Source organism: Homo sapiens, chromosome 16, assembly GCF_000001405.40.
Source record: "Homo sapiens chromosome 16, GRCh38.p14 Primary Assembly".
Lineage (NCBI taxonomy): Eukaryota > Metazoa > Chordata > Mammalia > Primates > Hominidae > Homo > Homo sapiens.
Genome location: NC_000016.10, coordinates 15413745 through 15428037, shown reverse-complemented (window position 1 = coordinate 15428037; position 14293 = coordinate 15413745). Strand labels below are relative to the sequence as shown.

The 14293-nt window shown below is 45.0% G+C and overlaps 1 protein-coding gene across 1 annotated transcript in view; it reads right to left on the bottom strand.

Annotated features, from left to right (window-relative positions):
- MPV17L-BMERB1 (MPV17L-BMERB1 readthrough) overlaps positions 1-14293 on the bottom strand; it is a 192506-nt gene that overhangs the window by 160222 nt on the left and 17991 nt on the right. The gene's annotated exons all lie outside the window — the stretch shown is intronic.

Sequence of the window (14293 nt, the reverse complement as noted above, 5' to 3'; positions counted from 1 at the left end):
TGCTTGTCCTGGCTCAGTGCCTCGGCTTTGCTGGGAATGCCAAGGACTTGGAGGGATCCTGGGTGATTATAAAGAGCCAAGGCAGCAGGGGCCAGTGCAAGACACTTTTATAACTGTCATTTTGCTTGATTGAAAGGAAAAATAATGCAATCTCATCCTGGTAATTTGATACTTCATCCAGCATGTTGAGAATTTCAAACGTCCATGACACTGAGCTTATGAGAATCGCATGGTTTTCAAAAATGCGGGCCGTGAAATCCAGAGGATCTGAGTTTGAGCCCTGACTCTGCCACCTGCTGGCTGTGTGACTCTGTGTGTTGTGTCCCTTAATTTCTTTAATCTTCACTTTCTTTCAAATGCTAATGACATTATTATCTATTCTGAGGACTATTATTATTATTATTATTTTGATGTGGAGTCTCACTCTGTTGCCCAGGCTGGAGTGTAGTGGTGAGGACTATTATTATTATTATTATTATTATTCTTTTGACATGGAGTCTCACTCTGTTGCCCAGGCTGGAGTGTAGTGGTGAGGACTATTCTTCTTCTTCTTTTGACATGGAGTCTCACTCTGTTGCCCAGGCTGGAGTGTAGTAGTGTGATCTTGGCTCACTGCAACCTCCACCTCCCAGGTTCAAGTGATTCTCCTGTCTCAGCCTCCTGAGTAGCTGGGATTATAGGCGCACATCACCAGGCCCGGCTAATTTTTGTATTTTTAGTAGAGACGAGGTTTCACCATTTTGGCCAGGCTGGTCTGGAACTCCTGACCTCAGGTGATCCGCCTGACTAGGCCTCCCAAAGTGTTGGGATTATAGGCATGAACCACCACACCCAGCCCCAGAGGACTATTATGATTAAATGAGATAAAGTATGGCAGCCCATAGGAGGTCCTCAGTACAAGTTAGTATCATCATCATGATCATCATCCTTCTTGGGTTGAAGCAACGTGTTAGCTGATATTTTGAGTGCTGACTCTTTGAGAATTTACCAAATGAAGTCTCCAAATCAAAACCAAAAACCTATTAAAATGACATTGACCTGTAATCCTAATGTGTCTGGAATGTATTCCTTCTGGTGGGTTCTTGGTCTCTCTGACTTAAAGAATGAAGCTGTGGACCCTCGCAGTGAGTGTTACAGTTCTTAAAGATGGTGTGTCCGGACTTTGTTTCTTCAGATGTTCAGATGTGTCTGGAGTTTTTTCCTTCCGGTGGGTTCACGGTCTCGCTGACTTCAGGAGTGAAGCCGCAGACCCTCGCAGTGAGTGTTATTGCTCACAAAGGTGGTGCAGACCCAAAGACTGAGCAGCAGCAAGATTTATTGTGAAGAGCGAAAGAACAAAGCGTCCGCAGCGTTGAAGGGGACCCAAGCAGGTTGCCACTGCTGGTTGGAGGTGGCCAGCTTTTATTCCCTTATTTGTCCCTGCCCATGTCCTGCTGATTGGTGCGTTTTTACAGAGTGCAGATTGGTGCGTTTACAAACCTTTAGCTAGACACAGAGCGCTGACTGGTGAGTTTTTACAGAGTGCAGATTGGTGCGTTTACAAACCTTTAGCTAGACAGAAAAGTTCTCCAAGTCCCCACTCCATACAGGAAATGCAGCGGGCTTCACCTCTCACTAACACTTTGGGAGATTGAGGCAAAAGGATTGCTTGAGCCCAGGAGTTCAAGACCAGCTTGGGCAACATAGGGAGATCCCATCTATACAAGTGATAATTAAAAAATTAGCCGGGAGTGGTGGCATGTGCCTGTGGTCCCAGCAGCTCAGGGGGCTGGGGTGGGAGGCTTACTTGAACCCAGGAGGTTGAGGCTGCAGTGAGCTATGACTGGATCACTGCCCTCCAGCCTGAGTGGCAGTGAAATCCTGTCTCAAACAAAACAAAACAAAACAAAACAAAACAAAACAAAACACCACACCATTAAAATGACATTGAGTAGAAAAATTAGATCTCTCATACCATGAATATACAATGTTGCAACCTCTTTGGAAGATGGTCTGGCAGTTCCTCCCGGGAGGTGGAGGTTGCAGTGAGCTGAGATCGCACCGCTGAACTCCAGCCTGGGCAACAGAGCGAGACTGTCTCCAGAAAAAAAATAGAAAATATCCGCAATCTTGGGGAAAAAAAATCGTAAAAGATATAAATGGGTTTGGAAGGTAGAACAGAGTTCCAGAAAGCATAGTATGTATTCCTCTTAAAGGAGGCTTGAGAGAGAGAAAAGAAGTTGAGGAAATATTTGCTCTCAAGACTTAGGACCTGAAATCCCCTATCTGTTATAGAGCTGGGAGCTGCTGCTTCTCCATGAAGTGCTTGAGGAGTGGGATCAGGTGTGTGAGTTTTGCAGGGGCATGAAGCTTTTACCATAGGAGCTTAGAGCACATGCTATTTGAGAATGGGTAGGGTATCTGAGAAAAATCCCTGGGTTGCATGCGTATTCTCCCTCTATTATAGAATTGTCTGAGTTTTTTTGTGGTTTTCTTTTCTCTTTTTGATGGAGTCTCAATCTGTCCCCCAGGCTGGAGTGCAATGGCGCGATCTCGGCTCAGTGCAACCTCCGCCTCCCAGGTTCAAACGATTCTCCTGCCTCAGCCTCCCAAGTAGCTGGGATTACAGGCATGAACCACCACGCCTGTCCCAAGTAGCTGGGATTACAGGCATGAACCACCACGCCTGGCTAATTTTTCGTATTATTGGTAGAGATAGGGTTTCACCTTTTGGCCAGGCTGGTCTTGAATTCCCAACCTCAGCCCAATCTGCTCACCTCAGCCTCCTAAAATACTGGGATTACAGGCAGCATTGACTGTTTTTTGTTTGAGAGGGAGTCTCGCTTTCTCGCTTTGTCGCCAGGTCAGAGTGTAGTGGCGTTATCTCGGCTCACTGGAATCTCCGCCTCCCAGATTCAAGCGATTGTTCTGCCTCAGCCTCCCCAGTAGTTGGGATTACAGGCATGCACCACCATGCCCAGCTAATTTTTGTATTTTTAGTAGAGACGGGGTTTCACTAAGTTAGCCAGGATAGTCTCGATCTCTTGACTTTGTGATCCGCCTGCCTCGGCCTCCCAAAGTGCTGGGATAACAGGCGTGAGCCACTGCGCCCAGCCCGCATTGTCTGTTTTTTTAAAGCTGATGTTTATTGCGTGGTTACTATGTGCTGGGCACTGTACCAGATTTATCCTTCTTCATTCTATGCTGTAGTATCCTGTGAGACAGGGGCTGTAGCTCAGAGAGTTTGGGTAAGTAAATTACTTGCTAACACATGGCAGAACCAGCATTCAAACTCAGCCAGCCAGTCTCAAAGCCTAAACACTTCGCCACATCCCACATCACCTCTCAAAGGTGTTTCAAGAAACCACCATGGCAGTGCCCATGAAGAGGGATTTATAACCTCAACCTGATCATATTCAAAGTCAGATTCACTATATCAGCCCCCATACCTGCTCCATCCGAGTTGGAAATCTCAGTATATCCTTGGTACCTTATTCTGCAACATCCCAACACTCTCTGCCACAGTCAGTCAACAAATCCTATTGACTCTATTTTGGAAATAGCTCCCAAATCTGATTCTCCTCCTCCTTCCTACTGCCTAAGTTAGCTCAATTTTGCATCATCTCTGACCTACACTGTGGCAAAAAACATCTTTTCTGGGTTTTTTTTCTCCCTACTGAAAACCATTCTCCACACGACTTCTAAAATTAGATACACACACACACACATCCAATGCCACTCTCCTGCTTAAAAACCTCCATTGGGAGGCTGAGGTGGGAGGATCGCTTGAGCTTAGGAGTTCGAGGTTACAATGAGCTGTGATCACCACACCACTGCACTCCAGCCTGGGCTACAGAACAAGAACCTGTCTCTGAAAAAAAAAAAAAAATTAAAAAGAAAATCATCCACTGGTTTCCTGCTAGCTATAGAATAATTTATATAACCAATCTCCTTGGTTCTGGGGACAAACAGGTTATTCCTAAATTCTCGAGATTATCAGCAAAATATGAGGAGCAGTCTTGCAGTTAAAGCTTTGTAGATATCTTATTCTTTTGGGAAAAATTCCTTGATGTGAAATTGCTGAATCAAAGGATATGCACATTTTTAAAGGCATTTTATATTATCAAGCCATCCTTCAAAAGTGTCATGCCAAGTTATACTCACCAGAAGTGTGTGTGAGGGCTGGGTATGGTGGCTTATGCCTGTAATCCTAGCACTTTGAGAGGCCGAGGCAGGTAAATCACTTGAGGCCAGGAGTTTGAGATCAGCCTGGCCAACATGGTGAAATCCCATCTCTACTAAAAATACAAAAATTAGCAAGGCGTAGTGGCGTGTGCCTGTAATCCCAGCTACTCAGCTACTTGGGAGGCTGAGGCTTGAGAATCGCTTGAGCCTGGGAGGCAGAGGTTGCAGTGAGCCGAGATCACACCACTGCAGCCTGGGCAACAGAGTGAGACTCTGTCTCAAAAAAAAAAAAAAAAAAAAAAAGAAAGAAAAGAAAAGAAAAGAAATGTGCGTGAGTAATACAACTCATTTATAAATCACATATTTACATGAGGATACCCATGAAGTAGAAATGTGTTCTATTTACTTTCAAATCATCAGAGCTGAAATATTGAAAGGCACGTGGTAGATACCCAGCCAATGCTTGTTGAACGTATGAATGAACTGAGTAAGCAGAAGAAAAATTCTAAAGTGCCCCCTGATCTGTGTATGGCTCAAATAATAACATCCTAACATAACTGCTAGTATGCCTTGTCTATTTCATGTGGAATTGATTCAACAGCATCCCCTTGCATACAGGGCTGATATTTCTGGATGCTCCAAAATGCTGCTCCATCCAGGAAATAAAATCCTTGCATCTGGCCGGAGGTGGTACCCCATACCTGTAATCCCAGCACTGTGGAAGGTCAAGGCACGAAGATTGCTTGAGCCCAGGAGTTCAAGGCCAGGCTGGGCAACTTGGTGAGATCGTGTCTCTCCAAAAAAAAAAAAAAAAAAAAAAAAAAAATTCCTTGCATTCTACCTATATTTACTGTGTATTTATAACCCCAACCTTAGTCTCTACAGTTTTTTACCATCATCTATGCAGGGGAGTTACCCTCTGGAAAAAGGTTCACCTAAACTAAACAGTAAAGTGAGTAAAGACATGCTAAAAGTTTACGAACTTATATTTCCAGATGTGTCTATACAACTCTTTGTTGGGCAGCACCACTAGACTAGATATCCCAGAAGCACTTCAAATTTAATATCTTCCTCCAGATCCTATCTTGTGTATTTCCTATGACAGCTGATGACACCTTTGTTTGAGCTAGTCATTGAAACCAGTAAATTTGTACTTTGTTTTTGTTGTTGTTGTTTTTGAGACAGTCTCACTCTGTGGCCCAGGCTGGAGTGCAGTGGCATGATCTCAGCTCACTGCAACCTCCACCTCCTGGGTTCAAGCAATTCTCTTTCCTCAGAATCCCTAGTAGCTGGGACTACAGGCAGCGCCACCACACCTGGCTAATTTCGTTTTGTATTTTTACTAGAGACAGGGTTTCACCATGTTGGCCAGGCTGGTCTTGAAGTCCTGACCTCAAGTGATCCACCTGCCTCACCTTCCCAAAGTGCTGGGACGGTGCCCGGCCGTAAATTTGTACTTTGACCTACAAATCTGGCTGATACTACCTAGGTAAATCTAAATTTATTAACCTATACTCTGTCCCTTACTCTCTACTAGCATTGAACTATTTTGGTCTCAACTTCTCTCTCCCCTAGACAATCCATTTTTATTTAATGTTCACGGTCTCGCTCTGTTACCCAGGCTGGAGCACAGTTGCAGGATCTCGGCTCACTGCAACCTCCGCCCCTGGGCTCAAGTGATCCTTCTACCTCAGCCTCTTGTCTAGCTGGGACCACTGAGGTGCACCACCACACCCAGCTAATTTTTTGTATTTTTGGTGGAGATGGGTTTCGCCACGTTGTCCAGGCTGGTCTTGAACTCCTGGGCTGAAGCGATCTGCCCACCTCCACCTCTCAAAATGCTTGGAACAGCTACTTAGGAGGCTGAGGCAGGAGAATTGCTTGAACCCTGGAGGCAGAGTTTGCAGTGAGCCAAGATTGCGCCACTGCACTCTAGACTTTGTGATAGAGTGAGACTCTGTCTCAAAACAAACAAACAAACAAAAAAACTAGAGGCAGGGGCCCAGCGCAGTGGTTCATGCCTCTAATCTCAGCACTTTGGGAGGCCAAGGTGGAATGATCTCTTGAGGCCAGGAGTTCGAGACCAGCCTGGAAAACATAGTGAGACCCTGTCTCTACAAAAAGTAGAAACGTAGCTGCATGTAATGGCATGCATGTGTAATCCTAGCTATTCAGAAGGCTGAGGCAAGAGGATCACTTGAGCTCAGGAGCTGAAGGCTGTAGTGAGCTATGGAGTGCACCACTGCACTCTCAACTGGGTGAGAGAGAGAGAGAGAGAGAGAGAGAGAGAGACCCTATCTCTGAAAAAACAAAACCAAACTAGAGTCGGGAGATCATTGGAAGACTCTAGTGAAAAAATTTATTAGTGCTTGTCAAATTTCAGTGTGTTAAAATGCACATTCTAATCCAGAGAGTCTGAGGTGGGTATCTAAGATTCCTAGATGTTCCCAGGTGATGTTGAGACTCTGATCCATGGACCACACTCTGAGTATCAAGGGTCTCCATGAGAAACAGCAATGATCTGAAATAAGCAATGGCAGTGGAATCAAAGACAGGATGGACTAAACCAATATAAAAATGATAGAATGTGGCCAGGCGCGGTGGCTCACACTTGTAATTCCAGCACTTTGGATGGCCACGTAGGGCGGATCACTTGAGGCCAGGAGTTCGAGACCATCCTGGCCAACATGGCAAAACCCTGTCTCTACTAAAAATAGAAAAATTATTATTATGTACCACCGGGTGTGGTAGTGGGCACCCATAATCCCAGCTACTCAGGAGGCGGAGGCAGGAGAATTGCCTGAACCCAGGAGGCAGGGGTTGCAGTGAGCCGAGATTGAACCACTGCACTGCAGCCTTGGTAACAGAGTAAGACCCTGTCTCATTAAAAAAAAAAAAAAAAAAAAAAAAAAAAAGAACTTGTTGACAAAGCAGCGTGAGATGGCCACACTGAGTTGACAAAGATCTCATCCATGGTAAAGAAGTCTGGGCCTGTCTGGGCCAGGCACAGTGGCTCATGCCTGTAATCCCAATGCTTTCAGAGGCCGAGGCAGGAGGACTGCCTGAGGCCAGGAGTTCAAGACCAGCCTGGGCTATATGGTGAAACTCTGTCTCTACAAAAAAAAAAAAAAAAAAAAAAAAAAATTATGCAGGTGTGGAGGCCTGTAGTCCCAGCTACTCCAGAGACTGAGGTAGGAGGATTGCTTGAGCCTAGCAGGTCAAGACTACAGTGAACTATAATTGTACTGCCTCACTCCAGCCTGAGCAACAGAATGAGACACTGTCTCAAACAAACAAACAAAAGTCTGAATTCATCTGCACAACCTGTTTTAAAATACTAGCTTTTTGAAAGTAACTCTCAGTCCCCTGTGTTACTTTTAAGGACCCATTAGAGACATTTGGAACCTCCCACTAAGATTCCCTAGCACAGCAAATTTCTCAGAAGCGCAAAGGAAAATAAAATAGAAACATTTATTTAGCATATACCATGAGCCCTTCACTTCATACTTTTGTCCATGTCTGGTGCCCTGGAATATCTCCATGGCCACCAGACACACACACACACACACAATGAGCTGATCATTCCTTTATGTCACTATTGTATCCCTTTTATTTATTTAGTTGTTTATTTATTTTGAGATGGAGTCTCGCTACGTTGACCAGGCTGGAGTGCAGTGGCACCATCTTGGTTCACTGCAACCTCCACCTCCCCGGTGCAAGTGATTCTCCTGTCTCCCAAGTAGCTGGGATTACAGGTGCCTGCCACTATGCCTGGCTGTCACTACTGTATCTTTGATATACCTCTTAAACTGCACTGGAGTTACTAGAAGCATGATCATAAGAGTGTGGGTTTGGAAATCAACCTGACTCTGCCATGTATTGGCTTAGTGGCAAAGGGCAAGGACCTTTGTTTTCTCAACTATAACAATGAGAGTGAATGCACTATAGCAAAGATGTGGACTCAATCTAAGTGTCCATCTTCAGATGAGTGGATAAAGAAAATGTGGGCCGGGCGCGGTGGCTCACGCCTGTAATCCCAGCACTTTGGGAGGCCGAGGCGGGTGGATCATGAGGTCAGGAGATCGAGACCATCCTGGCTAACAAGGTGAAACCCCGTCTCTACTAAAAATACAAAAAAAATTAGCCGGGCGCGGTGGCGGGCGCCTGTAGTCCCAGCTACTCGGGAGGCTGAGGCAGGAGAATGGCGTGAACCCGGGAAGCGGAGCTTGCAGTGAGCCGAGATTGCGCCACTGCAGTCCGCAGTCCGCCTGGGCGACAGAGCGAGACTCCGTCTCAAAAAAAAAAAAAAAAAAAGAAAATGTGATACATATACGCAATAGAATACTATTCAACCATTAAAAGAATGAAACCATGTCCTTTGCAGCAATATGGACAGAACTGGAAGCCATTATCTTAAACCAGCCAGACACAGAAAGACAAATATTGCATGTTCTCACTCATAAGTGGAAGCTAAAGAATGTGTACACAGAAATGTAGAGTGTGGAATGATAGATGATGGAGATTGAGAAGGGTTAGGGTGTGGGAGGTGGGTGGATGATGAGAAGTTACTTATTCAGTACAATACACGTCATTTAGGTGATGGACAGCCTAAAAGCTCTGACTTCTCCAGTATGAAATCTATGCATGCAACAAAATTGCACCTGTACCCCATAAATTTCTGGAAATGTTTATAATGGGAGTTTGCAAGTTGTTGGTTTGTATGGCAAAAAAAAATGAAAATAAATGAATCAGCTGAGTGTGGTGGCTTACACTTATAATCCCAGCACTTTGGGAGGCCAAGGTGGGTGGATCCATTGAGGCCAGGGGTTCGAGACCAGCCTGGCCAACGTGACAAAACCCTGTCTCTACTAAAAATACAAAAATTAGCTCAGCATGGCGGTGCGCTCCTATAGTCCCAGCTACTCAAGAGGCTGAGGCACGAGAATCGCTTGAACCCAGGAGGTGGAGGTTGCAGTGAGCTGAGATGGCGAGACTCTGTCTTAAAAAACAAAACAAAACAAAACACACAAAAATAAAATGAGAATAATATCTACTGTGTTATAAAAAAGGTCCTGTGTATCCTTTATGATGCTTTCCTTCAAGTAACAGAAAACCTAATTCCCAGTGGTTTGAAAAATAAAGGGAATCTCCTAGCTCCTATAACAGAAAAGCCCAGAGCAGGCTTTGGGCATAGGCTATATCAGAGGTTATGAAATCATCAGGGTTTCTCTGAGATTCTTTCAGTGATACCCTCTTGCCTCCATGTCTTTCACGGTAACAAAAAATGGCTATGGTAGTCCTAGGCCTTACATCTATATTAACATCTCTATGACACAATGAGAGAATATGCCTTTGTCCTGGTTTTCCATCAAAGGTTATGAGATTCACTCTAATTGGGCAGCTGCAGATAACATGATTGTCTCTGAACCCTGTAGCAAGGGGCATGAAACGCCCTGATTGGCTTAATCTGTCATGTGCTCCACCTCTTGAGCCAAGTAAAGTCATCTTCTGGGAAGATCCCCAAAAAGGAACTGGGAGCTGTTGGGAAGTGGGGGAGGTAAGGAAATCGATGGTAGAAACCACTCAACTACACCATATCAATTACCACATGATGTAAAGGGCTTGGCATAGACCCTTATCTACAGTTAGTGAGCATACAAAAAGTGGTAGCTGTAATTTGCTTAGAAGTCTGTCTGCTGGCCAGGTGCGGTGGCTCATGCCTGTAATCCCAGCACTTTGGGAGGCTGAGGCGGGTAGATCACCTGAGGTCAGGATTTCGAGACCAGCCTGACAACGTGGCGAAACCCTGTCTCTACTAAAAATACAAAAATTATCTGGGTGTGGTGACACACACCTGTAAGTTGCAGCTACTCAGGAGGCTGAAGCAGGAGAATCACTTGAACCCTGGAGGCAGAGGTTGCAGTGAGCCACGATCGTGCCACTGCACTCTAGGCTGGGAGACAGAGGGAGACTCCTATCAAAAAAATAAAAATAAAAAATAAAAAAGGTGGCCAAGCGCAGTGGCTCATGCCTGTAATCCCAGCACTTTGAGAGGCCAAGGCGGGCGGATCACGAGGTCAGGAGATCTAGACCATCCTGGCCAACACAGTGAAACCGTGTCTCTACTAAAAATACAAAAAATTAGCCAGGTGTGGTGGTGGGCGCCTGTAGTCCCAGCTACTCGGTAGGCTGAGGCAGGAGAATGGCGTGAACTGGGGAGGCGGAGCTCGCAGTAAGCTGAGATCGCACCACTGCACTCCAGCCTGGGTGACAGAGCGAGACTCAGTCTCAAAAAATTAAAAAAAAAGGTCTGTCTGCTAGACCGTAGGCAAATAGCCGGGTCCTCACCTTATTCACCTTGGAAATCTCCAAAGGCTAGCATAGTGTCTGGGACAGACAGCTTAAATACTGTTGAATTAATGTTGGCAATTGAAATTGTGAAATAGTTATAGAAATTATTTCAACAACCAAAAAAGAGGATTGCATGGCCTCAGGTGATATGAAAACATAAACTATTGCTGATTCATAGCATTAATAAGACAAAGGAGCTGCATATAGCTGAGTTATAGACTGGGGATATAATTGGGATATATTCCAGTACACATTTTAAGTGTCTATTATAAATTTTGGTCACTTTAGAAAAGAAATGCTAAGCAAAGTGTTCTGGTGTGTTTTGCCTGTCTTGGTAGTGGAAGGGAAGAAAATCAGTCTTTTTCTTTCTTCTCCCCCTTAAAACTATTTAAGAAGGGAACTGGGCGAGGTGGCTCATGCTTGTAATCCCAACGCTTCGGGAGGTCAAGGTCGGAGTCCAGGAATGTAAGACCAGCCTGGGCCACATAGTAAGACCTCATCTCTACAAAAAAAAAAAAAAAAAATACCAGGGCTGGGCACGGTGGCTCACACCTGTAATCCCAGCACTTTTGGAGGCCGAGGTGGGCAGATCACAAGGTCAGGAGATCGAGACCATCCTGGCTAACATGGTGAAGCCCTGTCTCTAGTTAAAAAATACAAAAATACAAAAAAATTAGCCAGGCAAGATAGCATGCGCCTATAATCCCAGCTACTCAGGAGGCTGAGGCAGGAGAATTGCTTGAACCTGGGAGGTGGAGGTTGCAGTGAGTCAAGAACATGCCACTGCACTCCAGCCTGGGTGACAGAGTGAGACTCCTTCTCAAAAAATAAAATAATGGGGTGTGGTGGTGCATACCCATGGAGCTACTCAGGAGGCTGAGGTGGGAGAATCTTTTTAGCCAGTGAGTTCAAAGCTTCAGTGAGGCATGGTAGTGCCACTGCACTCCAGCTTGGGCAACAGAGTGAGATCCTGCCTCACAAAAAAAAAAAAAAAGGCCAGGCCCAGTGGCTCATGCCTGCAATCCCAGAACTTTGGGAGGCTGAGGCAGCTGGATCACCTGAGGTCAGGAGTTTAAGACCAGCCTGGCCAGCGTGGCAAAATCCTGCCTCTACTAAAACTACAAAAATTATCCGGGCATGGTGGTGCACACCTGTAATCCCAGCTACTCAGGAGGCTGAGGCAGGAGAATTGCTTGAACCAGGGAGATAGAGGTTGCAGTGAGCCAAAATGGTGCCACTGCATTCAGCTTGGGGGACAGAGTGAGACTCTGTCTTAAAGAAATAAAAATTATTAAAAAAAAAAAAAAGGATCCCCTGGACATACAATAAGTAATCTACTACTACTTAGGCAAATAAATAACAATTCTATCATTTGGGAATCTTAAGATCTGTTCTACCACTTTATGAACCTTCAGACTCAATCTCTATTTTAGAGATACTAACATTGATTGATCCCACTATGTGCCAGGCACTGTCCTTCACACCTTCACATATATGATCTCATTTAATCCTCATTTAATTTTGGCAGAGAAAGGTTGAGCTCCTTACCCAGGATCGTATAACTAGGAAATAAAGACCAAAGCACATGCCTCACTCTTCTTGTTATTAGAAAAAATTTCCTTCTGTAAACCTCAGGGACTTTACAAGTGAAATATTGGATTACTGTAATATGATTCATCAGCCCAATTTAATATTACCTATTCATTATAACGTAATGCTGCTCACACAACTGAGAAAACGCTGTTGCTTTACCCCCTCTGGCTCAGTAGCAGCCACACATAAATCACAAAACTATAAACATATGCTAATTACATAACCTATGTAGGCAATCAATATTAAGAAAAATGTTTACTGCCCAATATTTCTGTGGTTGAAAATGTACAGTCTAATTTTGATCTGCAGTAACATCTAGGTTAATGCTGATTCAGAAGGAAAACATTTGTTGTTGCCATGAGAAGAGGCATTGAAACTCTGAATCACCACCTCAAATGCTACCACTATTAATATAAGTAGATACATAGGAAGATCGAATTAGACCATCTCGGACCACCAGGTTTACAATTCTACCAGCAGATACATGCAAGAAGTATTGTCACAGTACTTATGTCACGTTATTCCATTGAGGTCATCACCAACTAAGCTTATAATTAATGTGTGGTCAATTTGGTCAATGTCACCAGCGTAGCATACTAACAAAAACAAGAGTTGCAAACACAAATGCCTATAAGGCAGAATGTAAGATGGTAGGAAGCAAAGTCTATAGGGAACTATACAATAGAGGCTGCAGATTCAAGGCACATTCTAAAGCACAGCAGTCCCCAACATTTTTGGCACCAGGGACTGGCTTTGTGGAAGACAATTTTTCCACAGGCAGCAAGGGATGGAGCGCAGGATGGTAATGGTCTTGGGATGAAACTGTTCCACCACAAATCATCAGGAATTAGATTCTCATAAGGAATATGCAACCTGGATCCCTTGTGTGTGCAATTCACAACAGGGTTTATGCTCCTATGAGAATCTAATGATGCTGCTGATCTAAGAGGAGGCAGAACTCAGGCAGCAATGCAAGCAATGGGGAGCGGCCAGAAATACAGATGAAGCTTCAATTGTCCACCCACTATTCACCTCCTGCTCTGTGGCCCAGTTCCTAACAGGCCACAGACCAGTACAGGTCCATGGCCCAGGGATTAGGGACCCCTGCTGCGGCACATTGCTTCATAGAGGACTGTAGCAGGCATGTGCCCAGACGTTTCCTTTTTTCTTTTCTTTTTTCTTTTCTTTTTCTTTTTTGAGACAGTCTGGCTCTGTTGCCCAGGTTGAAGTGTGTGAGTGTGATCGTGGCTCAACCTCCCAGCCTCAAGCAATCCTCTCGCCTCAGCCTCCCAAGTAGCTGGGATTACAGGCGCACTCTACCACACCCAGCTAATGTTTTTGTGTTATTTGTAGAGATGGCGTTTTGCCATGTTGCCCAGGCTGGTCTGGAATTCCTAAGCTCAAGCTGTCTGCCCATCTCCGCCTCCCAAAGTGCTGGGATTGCAGGAGTGCACCACCACACCTGGCCTGAAACCCAGATTTTATATATTTATTTATTTGTTTATTTATTTATTTTTGAGATGGAGTCTCGCTCTGTTGCCAAGGCTTGAGTGCAGTGGCGCAATCTTGGCTCACTGCAACCTCCACCTCCCTGGTTCAAGCAATTCTCCCACCTCAGCCTCCCGAGTAGCTGGGATTACAGGCACATGCCACCACGCCTGGCTAATTTTTGTATTTTTAGTAGAGACAGTTTCACCATGTTGGCCAGGCTGGTCTCGAACTCCTGACCTCAGGTGATCCACCTGCCTCAGCCTCCCAAAGTGCTAGGATTACAGGCATGCACCACCGCACCCAGCCTGAAACCCAGATTTTTACTATGAAATCAAAGTCTTCAAACCTTCTAGGTGTCATAAAAAGCACGCTGTGGACCATTAGTTTGCAACTGCCAACCTAAAATATCATAGACAGATAGGCAGATCACTTGAGGTCAGGAGTTCAAGACCAGTCTGGGCAACATGGTGAAATCCCATCTCTACTAAAAATACAAAAATTCGCTGGGTATGCTGGCACATGCCTGTAGTCCCAGCTACTCGGGAGGCTGAGGCAGGAGAATCGCTTGAACCTGGGAGGCGGAGGTTGCAGTGAGCCAAGATCATGCCATTGCACTGCAGCTTGAGCAACAGAGTGAGACTCCATCTCAAAAAAGATAAAAATAAAAATAAATTCTCCGTAGGATGGTCCTTTC